We start from the raw sequence: 13,012 nt of genomic DNA on the forward strand, positions 1-13,012 counted from the left end.
AATGAAAGCCACAGCCAAGACCACGGAGAGCTCTGGAGCTCTGGAGCTGGAACAGGCCTTTACAATAGGATCAAGGGGACCAGGACTTTATACCATGGCATGATTCAGTCATTGGATGCAGGATGACCCCAGAAAGGAGGAGTGTCCTTAAGGAAAACACTCTCGTCAGCCAAGGGCAATTCCCAGAGAGGACTGCCAGCTGAAGGTTATATGTGGGCAGCACTCCTGACAGCTGGGAAAATATGTTCTGCAGTCCTAAGGGGGGATGTGGGTGGCACAGCAAAACATCCACTACAAACTGAGAGCCCATTCCCAGCTTTGCTATCAATATCTTCATGTATTTATAACATTCCCTTGAGGGGCAGTGGGCAGGGGAGGTCTCACTTTGTTGCCAAGGCTGGTCTTGAACTCCTGGCTTCAAGTGATTTTCCCGCCTCAACCTCCCAAAGTGCTGAGATTACAGGTGTGAACCAATATTCCTTTTTTAATTCTAAGCTCCACCTTTCTATCATTTCAATTTCAATACTATAAAGTTAATGCAGGCAAGCTGCCATGAATCTTTGTGCTTCCCCAATCCAAGTTTAAAACTTCTGGGGAAAACAAATCTGTAAAATATTAGGTCATCTGATTCACCTCCTTTGCCAACAGTACAATAAAGTTGGGAGATACATTTCTAGTACCTATCTATTAAAAATATTCTACAGATAACCACCGACTATCTAACTATCCTAAGAACAATGTCTATAGGAAAAAATCACTGTTTCTGAAATCTTTCTTATATGAAGAACATATTTTGATTTAAAAAATGTACAATCACCTTAGCCCAAGTAGATCAACTATTTTCTTCATCTAAGTGGCCACATATTATTTTGAAAAATCAGAGAATTCACTCTTACTAAGCTTAATAGCAAATAATTATCCTCTTTTTGAAAAAAACAAATACCCCAAAAGAAGATAGTTTCCAATGGAAAAGAAAACCTGGATATCTTAGTTCCAGGATAAAAGGCCTATGTTATATTTTTTCATTGCCTCTAGTGATAGTCTCAATCAATTTGCCCATATAGAGCCAAGTGAAGAGATAACCTAATGTCTCTTAAACCAGAAAAAATATTGGCTGCCTTACATGTCAACTAATAATACAAGCCATAGCAACACAGACAAAGCGAAAGTGTTGCTCAATGGTGTGATGTGGTTTGTTCTGGCCAGAAAACCTAACATTCTGGAAATAGCATTTCTGATTTTACAGCACAAAGTACAATTAAAGGTATCACTGGAATATCAGGAGTTGATTTACTTATTAGGTTTGCAGTAATACTGTCCCAGAACTTTTTAAGAAAATTTCAAGATGTCACTTCAAAATAAGTTGTAATGTTTATCATCCCTAGTTCCTCAAAAATGGGATAGCACATAAGTCGAATTCTTTTTTTTTCTTTTTTTTTTTTTTGAAACGGAGTCTCACTCTGTCATCCAGGCTGGAGTGCAGTGGCACCATCTTGGCTCACTGCACCCTTGACCTCCTGGGTTCAAACTATTCTCATGCCTCAGCAGCCTGAGTAGCTGGGATTACAGACATGCATCACCACACCTGGCTAATTTTTGTATTTTTAGTAGAGACAGCGTTTCGCCATGTTGGCCAGGCTGGTCTTGAACTCCTGGCCTCAAGTGATCTGCCCGCCTCAGCCTCCCAAAGTGCTGGAATTACAGGCATGAGCCACCAAGCTTGGCCCTAGAATTCTTAATGAGTTCATCACTGGCATATGCGGTATCATCACCCTGCATTAATGAGTTTAAGACCACTCTTATGTGTACAAAATGACCCCTCTAATCTAGACACCATGCTGAGTGTCAGAGCTGCAAGTGGAATCAGATACAGACTGTGGTTATCAAAAAACCTGAAGACTAGTGGAAAAATATAAGTCTGGCTCTTAAATAACCACAACTAAACTATCTCTGTCTTCTGATACCCGGAGTATATGGATATCTTCCCGTCAACAATGAAGAATACCTGCACTTCAGAATGACCTCAGTGTTAGATTGTTTGCCATATAGCTGTCATCAAAAGTCCAGTGAGAAAACTGATAGACCAGAAAGATTGTCTAATAAAGGATATATTAACTTTCATTTCTCAAGATATTCCAAGCTTTGTCCCCATAAATGGTGAGCTCATCCGAAAACTATATGCCTGGACTGTATTATTCTGGTCCCTCTAGGCTTGTCTTCTCAGAATCATAATTTAACATCACGTCAACAGATTTCAGTCAGGATTTATTTATAATCATGGGTAAAATATCTCTACTCTCTGAAGCTTCGACCATTATGTCACTTACATTTTTCTCAGGACCAGGATAAATCTTCTTCCTTACAATTACCAGAGTACTTCCTGTCATTAAACCCTCAGCTTTGTACCTTCAGCACCTTCATTATGAGGAGAAACAAAGTTCGAGTCAATGTAAATCCATGAATGACAAATCTTGATCGGTCATTTAAACAAAAACCAGGAAATTTTATAGTAAGACTCTGTCCCTGTCCTTTGAGGATGACTTTTTAGGAACAATCTTGACACTTGCAGAAACCAAATTCTGTTGAGAATGGGCCAGAAATTGGAATTTAAATTTTACACCTTTAAAGAAGAGAATATTGGCCCCCTTGTTTATGAAGGAAATGATGTAGCATAGTAGAAGAGTACATGTTGTAGAACTGGAAAACATGCACTTGAGTCAAAGCTTCAGAACCAACCAGCCTTCAGGCAAGATATTGATTGAGACTGGAATTCTCTGCTATGACCTACCAAAACCGGCTCTTATCAACCCCTCAGAATGTCTTTATTCAGAAAACTGAGGTCTTTGAAATGCCACAAACCCACCTAACATTTAAACACCTGTCTTTCATGACATTTTTTACTTTCAGATGAAATAGATTCATTAAAGCATTTTGTAAACTGTAAAATAATATATACATTTAAAATACTGTGACTATTTTTTATTATTATGAAGCACCTCATTATAAGGATTGTACATTCTGATTTTGATTTCAAGTCTTCAAAAGAGCTATCTGCACTCACTTTCTCTACTTCTTGACTGTCCATGCTTTCTCCAATCAGGATTTTGTCTCCATCCTTCCAACTGCAATCTCTCTGGTCATCCTGTATGTTACTAAATCCAATGATCAGTTCTCAGTCTTCACTTTATTTATCACAGTTGGCCACCCCCTCTTTCTTCAAACCTTTTCTTTGTTTTAATTCCAGAACATCCAAGTAGTTTTCCTCTTATTTCATTAGTCACTGCTTCTCACACACTTAGCCAGCCCTTTCTCTTTTGCCCATCTTCAAACTTTAGAGTGCCTGAGAGCTAGAGTTCCTCTCTCCACTATGTAGGGCCCAGAATCTTCATCCAAGGTGGCCAAATGACTTTTTTTTTTTTGAAACAGGGTCTCTGTTGCCCAGACTGGAGTGCATGGCATGATCTCTGCTTGCTGCAGCCTTGAATTTCCAGGCATCAATCCTCCCTCCTCAGCCTCCTGAGTAGCTGCAACTGCAGGTGCACACCACCATGCCTGGCTAATTTTTATATTTTTAGTAGAAATGGGGTTTTGCCCATTTGCCCAGGTTGGTCTCAAATTTCTGCTCTCAAGTGATCTGCTTGCCTTGGCCTCCCAAAGTGCTGAGATTATAGGCATAGGCTACTGCAACAGGCCTTGGATGAGTTTTTTGTTTTTTTTTTTTTTTAGATGGAGTTTTTCTTGTTGCCCGGGCAGGATGGAGTGCAATGGCACAGTCTCGGCTCACTGCAACATCCACTTCCCAGGTTCAAGCAGTTGTCCTGCCTCAGCCTCCCAAGCAGCTGGGATTACAGGTGCCCACCACCATGCCTGGCTAATTTTTTTGTATTTTTAGTAGAGACAGGGTTTCACCATGTTGGCCAGGCTGGTCTCAAACTCCTGACCTCAGGTGATCTGCCCGCCTCAGCCTCCCAAAGTGTGATGACTTTTAAATTATATCTTCAGCCCACACCTCTCCCCTAAGCTTCAGTAATGCATTCCTCTACAGAATGACTAATATCTTGATAGAATTCTGGTTTCCTAGACCAGGCAGAAAACCACCACCACCACCACATGCTTCTTCCCCAGTTTTCTCCATCTTGGAACCTCAGCCAACAACTAGGTTTCCTGATGCCTCTCTTCATACCCACCCAGTACACCAACATATTGCCTCTGCCCTCAAAATACATCTCAGTCTGTGGTTATTAGGTGATATTTATTAAGGTACTACTGCTATTTTGTCAAATGTAGTAATGGTAGTATGGCTAAATATATGTAAATCCTTATATGTTCAAGATAAATACTAAAGTATTGATAGATAACAGAATATGACATACAGGATTTGCTTTTAAAATACCCCAGAAAATAAAATAATAAAAATTGATACAAAATAGCAAGAAGTATGCAAGTATACAAGAATAGCAAGTTGCTGCAGCTATGTAATACATAGAAAAGGATTCATTGTACTGTTCTATTTGTGTGTGCATGTGTGTCTGAAAATCCATGAGTGATGGTGATTATGATAGATAGATAGATAGATAGATAGATAGATAGATAGATAGATAGATAGATAATTCTACTTCTGTTTATGTCCTTCACTGCTAACACTCATGTCCATGGCATCATCATCATACCTGGACAAGAGTAGAAAACAAAATTTGTCACCGTCATTCTGCTCTTGTCTCTCTCTGCTGTCTACTGTCTACACAGAAGCCAGCGAAATCTTTTTATTGTTCATATAATTTTCCTGCTGAAAACCCTCCAGTAGCTTCTCATTACATTTAACATAAAATTGGAATTCTCTATCACTACCTCTAGGAATTGGCTCTTGCCAGCCCTTCAGCACTCCCCTTTATCACAATACTCTAGCCACAGTAGACATCTTACTGTCAGGTTCATTTCCACCTTGGAGCTTTTATACTTGTTGTTTCTTCTACCCAAGATCTTGGCATGGCTAGCTGCCTCTCAGTTCAAATATTACCTCTTCAAGGGGCCTTCTCTGGTCACCGTCTTTAAAATCATCTCCCCATCTCCCATCCCATCACTCTCTATCCTATTCCCCTATTTCATTTTCTTTGTTGTACTTACAACTACTTGAAATTATATTATTTATTTACATTTTGTTTATTATGTGTCTTCCACACTAGAATGTTGTTCACTAGGGCAGGGATTTATCTGGCCTCCTCATTTCTGTATCCTTAGTACATAGGAGAGTGCGTGGCACATATTAGGGGCTCAATACATATTGGTGAAGGAATATTTGAACAGATTAGCTATTTATGTGATCACTCATAATGTGTGCATAGCATATTTAGTTCTAGAGCTGACACGAGTAATAGTTTCACAAGGCTATGTCTCCTGGGAAGACCCTAAGAAAGTGTAACAAAGCTAATGACAAAGTCTGGAAAGAGGGTAAGGACAGGATGAATCATTGTAAGGCAAAGGATATCAGTTTAGACAATAAAAGAAATAAATAAAAACTTTTTTCCAAAGGAAAAAAGTGGAAAGCAAAATTGCATATATTGCATGGGCTCTTTTGCATATATGTATATTTGCCACAAAAAAATGCAACAACAAGGGATAATACATTTCCCTAAAAAGTAGACATTTTTACTTTTCTGAGTTTTTCACATTTTTAGTTGATAAATTTTAGATAAAAACTCACTTCTCAGAAGCCTCCTTTGTTCCCCAGACTGGCCTAAGTACCCCTTCTTTAGTGCTTCCGTTGAGGTCCATCAACACATCCATCCTCCTATACATTATATTGAAACTAAAAACTTGGTTGTCTCCCTGCCCTACAAACTGTGAGTTATGAAAACAGAAATGCTACGTTAATCATCTTTGGCACATGGGAGATACTCACTATCTGCAGAAATAAGATAGACCTAAAGATTCCTCTGGTTCAGAGCACCCATGCTATGTCTGCTCTTAACAATGCTGGGACAATAAATCAAATGACCCCAACAAAATTGGCTGTATTATTGAGGCTTATCACTTTTTCCAATTCAAGCCAATAGGATTAGAGTGTAAGCAGGAACTGCGACACGCTCCCCTGGCCCAACCTATGACATGAACTAGAGTGCCCCAAAAAATCCTCTATTTCTAGACCCGTCAGGTCTGGGTAAACCTGGCCTCTGGTGAAGGTCCTAAATCTGTTTCCCCATGCCCCGCTGACCACAGTAAGTCCCTGGAACAGGGGAAAGCCTTGGGCTCAGGGATGGTATATCAAATGGCAGTTGCATTTCTCATATTTTAGGAATGAGATGGATAAGAAAGACCTTCTAATGTAATCCCTTCATTATTCATTGGCACTACTCAAACCCCAAAGTCTCTAGGTTGTTTTTCTACTCCCTGGATATATCTATATGATAATTTTTTGCCTGGAGTAGACTCCATTTTTCTCTATTAGGAAGATGAAAACTTTCTGCCAGAAAGTTGCCCTTTTAATTACTTTCTGGGAAACACTCTAAGTTATGTGCTCCACCCAGCTCCAGGATGAAGTTTTTCTGCTTAATAGCAATGACAGGCTGGTCTCATACTCCTCCAAGCCCTCTCTGCTTTCTAGTGATCAAGGGGTTTCAAGACCTTATGGTCTTATTTATAGTCTGTAAAAATATGTCTAAATATATGTATAAATAATCTTCTCTCTTCTGAATTCCTTTCTTAATCACAAGAGCCACTACTGGGAACGATATTTTCAATTTGGTTAATCAGGAGATTTCGTGCCAGGGATCGTGACCATAATTAGGTACATTTGGGTAAAACTTTTATTAGTTTGACATTATCAGTACCAGATTTGAAATTTAACACAAGCAAATCTGCAGGCCAATTATAAGCATTTATACCACAGTCCTTTGCATATTTGTTTGCATAAACTCTAATCCCTACATTTTTAGGCATCTATTACTCTAAAATGCTCCCTATTTAATAGGGCCTCTGTTGCTTATTGTTTTCCTATCATTCTTTTTATCTCAATTCCAGTGTTCTTTCTTCTTCATCCTTAGAAAGAGAGTAAGAAATGAGATACAGAGCAAAGACAAAATTTAGAATACAGAGAAAGCAAGAAAAAAGAATCTAAAGACAGCCACCAAAACAGAATGAAAGGTGTCCCTGGTAACCTAGTGTGGAAAGCATGACAGCATCTCTTCACCTCTGCACCCACAAAAAATTGAGACCAAAGGCAAAAAAAAAAAAAAAAAGAAAAAAAAGAAAAAAAAAAAGCCTTTTAAAACTATAATGAAGGATCAGGTGAAAAAGAGAAAGACTAATAAAGAAAATAGGACATATGCTGAAAAATATTTCTCAAAATGAGAAGTGATACTCTAGTACATTAGTTATCTGATGGGGTGCAAATTAAGGAAGCCATGTACCTTTTCTCATTTTTTATTTGTCTTATTCTTACTGGAAAATTAGGTTCTATTATTTTTAAAAATATTAACATATTATCACTCAAGTTTCAAAGGAAGGATTAAATGAATAAAAGTAAATTCCCATAAAAGTTATGCATCTAGCAGTTTAGCTATGGTTCTGTGACCCCAAAACTTATTTCTAATAAAGCAAGCATTTGCAGAGCTGAGTTCTCACAGTGGTTAAGTCTGGATTTGTCCACCCTGGACAGACGGAGAGAGTAAACAGATTCTATGATAGAGGTAGGTTATTTCCAACAGATACTTAATAACTGAGCCTAGAAAGAAAAAAACCTCAGCTCTTCCCTTTTGGCAGAGCTTTAAATTTTTTTTCACATTTTGAAACTATTTACAGTTCATATGGTTTCCAGACCTACTCTCCAAAACCAAGGGCATCATCCCCTGCCTGGGTCTCTCAGTGCTCCACATGTGATTTCTCAGGCAGCCAGCCAGATGAGCATTTGATTTGAAAATGAAGCCTTAAATTTAGCAGTGTGAAAGGGGAAAGCATGTAAGAACATAAATGCCTGGAAAGGGGCAAGGTAACAGATGAGGACAGCTGGGTGAATACTCTTCGTCGTCCAGGCAATTCAGAAAGTGCCGCTGCAAGGGAAACGTCCACTGCAAACCCCAGCAAGTCTATTTCTGCTTCTCCACTGGGTGTCTAGGGCTGCCTGTCACATTTTTGCTTGTCCAACTTGCTGCAACCTGGGGGCAGCTGCGAATGAAACAGTAAGCATTGCTTCAAATCATATCTTGAGCTCTGCTAATTAAGAAATGAAGTCCAGGCAGACCTAAATCCTTCCCTTTCCTTAAGTGTCAGACACTGTCCCATACATGTTAATTTCCAGCAGTGCCCAAGAGACTCCCAATAACACAGAACACTAGGGTAAAGATGGGCTTGGTATCCGAGGACCTCACACTCTCAAGTGCAATGATAGCCAGCAGCGATGTGCACAAACACACAATATATGAATACTTCTCCTTGCCCCATATTAGTTACAGGGAAGAAAAGAGGAGTCTAAAATATATTCTGCTTTTGCCCCAAGAGGCTTTATTTAATTCACTTTAGTGCATTTTGCCCACTATCATGTAATTATTGCGTATCAACTGCATGGGAATATGGAGATTGTCTCAGCCTCAAGTAAGTCACAGCAGTAATAGGAACAGACAGACAAGTATAGCAATAGGCAATTAGCCTCTCCCCATATCTATCTTGACCCCTCTGCATTAGCTTCTTCCCATGCAGCAGGTATGAGATTTTCCAAAGACAAACCCTTCCACACAATCTCTCTGTTATGAGGAAAAAGACCCAAACTCTTAATGTAGCCTTGAAGGCCCTGCAGGGTCTGGCCTCTGATGGCTTCTCCAGCCCTGTCTGCCCCTGCTCTTCTCTCCGCCTTATTCTCTGGACTTCTGCCAATCAGTCCCTCATAATCACCATCCTCCTTCCCCTCCACAGGACCTTTGCACATGATTTTCCCTCTGGAATTCTTCTCATCCCATTGCTCCAACTCCTATTACCACCTTTGCCTAGTTAACTCCTAGTCATCATTATGTTTTCAGCTCAAATGTACTACTCCCTTAAAGAATCCATTCCTAAACTGCTTCACCTCACCTCTACCAACCCCCACAAAAAAATACCTGTCTTTAGAACCACACTCTTTTCCTTAGCAGCATTTGCCTTGGTTTGTAATTATACACTACTTAGCATGGCTATTTTATTATCTACTTCCCTGACCAGACACTAAGCTCTGTGATTGCAGAGAACATGTCTGTTTGGGTTGACCTGCATTTGCAGAATATAGCTCAATGCCTGGCACACAGGATTCACTCAATAAAGATTGACAAGTAAATGAAAGGTAAGGAGACCATTATGATACTATGTGTCATGATATAATAGAGTGCTATTATCAAGACAAAGAAAGATGGTGGGAATATGATCAGGACATTACCCTAGTAGCCTCATGCTTTGAATTGTCTCCTGACACCTTTTGCTACAATTTCTTCCATCTGGAATACAATTTATCTCCACTGTTGGAAGACCCGATGATTAAAGTTCTTCTTCCTTACCTAATCCATTTTGTAACTTTCAGATCCTACCCTCCTTGTTCCACTGTCATCTCTACTACTATTACTATCAAATCCATCCTCATACTTTCAATATTCCATTTGCTGTTAAATCTTTTTATCAGGTGGAGTCACTGACTCCCCTTCTTTGGCTCCTCACCATCACACCAAAGCTGAAGAGGATCACAGAGTCACTGTACTTAAAGCCTGAGAGGAACCTTGAAATATCTGGCCTAGTGGTACTCAAACTTCAATGTACATGAGAATCCCATGAAGTGCTCATTAAAAATAGAGTCCTCAGTCCCAGACCCAAAAAGTTTGATTCAAGAGGTCCGGGAAAGAGCCCAGGAATCTGCACCTGGGTGATTCAGATGCAGGTGGTCCTCAGACCTCATGTGCAGAAGTACTGACCAGTGCTGTGATGCTTGTGGAGGCTCCTCAAGATCTACCATAAAGGGTGAGAGGGCAGCCGAGAGCACCTGCTCTGAGCAACTGCACTATACATAAGATTTCATTTGAAAAGGGTTCTGCTTATTGGAAAAAGAAATGTTTGAAAATGACTGGTATCCAATATCTTTGTTTCATAGATGAGAAAACTCAAGTCCTTGGTCCTCAGTCATGTAGCCAATTCATGACAGAGCAGGACTGAACCTCAGCCTCCTGACACCAGGCTAGTGGACTTTTCCCAATGCCTTCCTGCCTTGTGGGGTAGAAAGACAACAGAGGTTCTCACTGCTGTGTTGCCCAAGAGTCTTACAATGAGTAGCCTGCATATGAAGATGGTACTTGTGACGGACCACATTGCACCAGAGCACATAACTGGAGGGACAGGAGATGGTGGATTTGGGCTCATTTTTCATCCAGCATATTCTCAGCCTCCCTCTTCAATAAGCCTGTAAAGACCTAGTAATCCTCTATGGCCTGAACTGTTCCTGGGTTCTCCAATGCTCTCCCCACCCTCTCACCCCACCATTCCATTAGCTGTTCAATGGCTGACCTTTGCTGGGGGGCCAATTCTATCAAGGGTTATTCTGAGACAATGAAATCCCTGCCACTAGCCCTCCAAAACTAGTATTAGCCATCCCTACCCCATATGTGTGCACCCAAAGCACCCAGTGCACCTGGAGCACCTCATACTTCCTTGCACCTACTGCTGTCAAATAAGAGTCTGTTTATTTGTCCATCTCTTCCCCTAGACCCCAGACTCCTTGAGGGCAGTGACATGGGTCCTAATAGTCCATGTGTCCGTAGCATCTAGCACAGTGGCTGGTACTCAGAAGTGTTATTTAAATATGGGATGGATGGGTGGATGGATGGATGGATGGATGGATGGATGGAAAACATGAATCCCTGCTGCTACTCTCAATGTTCCTATAAAACCTCTATCATATCCCTGAGGAAGCCCTAGTACATGCTGATTGACACTGAGCCAGCTAGATTATCTGAATGAAATTCGTCCCGTTGCCAACAGAGCCCCTTAAATCTCCACTGCTGTTTGTGTGCTCTCCTCCATGAAGCCCTCTCCAAACTCAATTCCATTTCTCAATACTTAACTTTTTTCTTTCCCCCTGCAACTCCATCATACTGGACTGAACACTGGACATTAAGCAAATTTAAAATCCAGTAAGTGTTTATTGTGAAGGAATGCTAAGCTTATGGAAAATGTACTTTATTGCACCATAGACAGTAAGTTCTCACTTAACGTCGTGGATAGGTCCTCGAAAACTATGATTTTAAGTGTAATGAAATGTAACAAAATCAAGTTTTTCCTCACCCATGCTATAATGAAATGACTTTGAACTCAACAACGTTATTTGAGGACCTACTGTATACTGTTTCACTTGAAGTCACAGTTTCCAAGAACCTATCAGCAATGTTAAGTGAGGACTTACTGTATTCTCCATTAGAAAATACCATCAACTTTCTTCACATCTTCAAAATCTATTCTTTCTCCATCATTAGAGTCCATTACCTTCCTTCTACAATATTCAGTATCACTCTCAATTATATTTCCCAGGCTTCCTCATCTCACAGCTCTTCCACAATGTCACTGCCAGAGTCTTCTTTCCATATGTTGCTGATGATGTTACTTTTTACAGCCCCCAAATTTCCCAGGTCCTTTTGAGTCCTTAGATCTAATTTAGAGATCATTACTCTTACTTTCTATGCTGTCTGCCTCTATCTTTTCCTTTTCCTTCCAGTATTGCACATCTGATTCTTGTCAAAGATCAGTAAGCAGAGAGAATTAGAACATGCCTAACATGGAATAAGGAAATAGATCTCAGTATTTTAGAAAACTGGTCAAGTTTAAAAATGTTCCAGTGTTCCTGAGTTACAGCTTCAAAGCACCATTCCCAACTAGGCTCCCAAAACCTACCAAGGTTTTCTACCACCAGGCATTGTTTCATCTGCAGAGCCTGTATACTGACAAGAACTTTTGAGAGCTGCACATTCCTAATGAGATGAGTCATTTTGCTCACACACCTTACCCAGAAGTAAAAACAACAAAATGTGAGAGTATCCTGGCAATTCTACAGATAAACCTATCCTGTACCATATACATATGATTGCATTATATTTGGGGAAAACACTATATCTTATTAAATTCTGTATCCTCAGCATATAGTAGGTTGGTGCAAAAGTAATTGTGGAATAACTTTTACTTTTGCACCAACCTAATAGCATTCTGCCTGACACATAGTAGGCAGAGAATAAGTGTCTACTGAGTGAAAGAACGAACAAATGAACGAACATAGAACCTCTCAAGTAAAAGCTAAAAAGAAGTGAATATTAGTCTTCTAGGGCTGCTATAACATGTCACCACAAACTATGTGGCTTAAAAGCAAATCATCACGAACCAACTGCTTTAAAACAACTTTGGCCGGGCGCAGTGGCTCACACCTGTAATCCCAGCACTTTGGGAGGCCGAGGCAGGCGGATCATGAGGTCAGGAGATTGAGACTATCCTGGCCAACATGGTAAAACCCCGTATCTACTAAAATACAAAAAATTAGCCAGGCTTGGTGGCACACGCCTGTAGTCCCAGCTACTCGGGAGGCCGAGGCAAGAGAATCGCTTGAATCCAGGAGGTGGAGGTTGCAGTGAGCTGAGATCACGCCACACGCCACTGCACTCCAGCCTGGCAACAGAGCAAGACTCCATCTTAAAAAAAAAAAAAAAAAAACAGAAAAATACAGCAGAATTTTATTCTCTTGCAGCTCTTCAGGCAAGAATTCCAAAATCAAAGTGTTAGCAAGGCTGTAAACCCTCTGGAGACTCTAAGGGAGAATCTGTTCCAGGCTTCTCTCCTAGCTTCTGATAGCTTCAAGCATTCCTTGGCTTGGGGCTATGTAATTCCAATCTCTGCCTCCACCTGCACATAAGCTTCTTTTCTGTGTCTCTTCTTTCCTTCTCTTCTCTCATAAAGACACTGGTGGTTGGGTTTAGAGTCCACCCTAATCCAGGATGATCTTACCTCAAGATCTTTAATTTAATTATGT

General features: G+C 40.3%; 1 protein-coding gene across 42 annotated transcripts in view; it reads right to left on the reverse strand.

Moving 5' to 3' along the window:
* Positions 1-13,012, reverse strand: part of ATP8B4 (ATPase phospholipid transporting 8B4 (putative)) — a 323,617-nt gene that overhangs the window by 158,324 nt on the left and 152,281 nt on the right. For 3 of the 42 annotated variants that reach the window (NR_073596.2, NR_073598.2, XM_011522062.1), the window contains one exon: positions 2,328-2,415. The exons of the other annotated variants lie outside the window; for them this stretch is intronic. The gene's annotated coding sequence lies outside the window, so the exon portion shown is untranslated. Of the gene's footprint in view, positions 1-2,327; positions 2,416-13,012 lie in introns of those variants that run through there. 42 annotated transcript variants of the gene reach the window in all.

This window comes from Homo sapiens, chromosome 15 (assembly GCF_000001405.40).
Source record: "Homo sapiens chromosome 15, GRCh38.p14 Primary Assembly".
In the NCBI taxonomy this organism is placed as follows: Eukaryota; Metazoa; Chordata; class Mammalia; order Primates; family Hominidae; genus Homo; species Homo sapiens.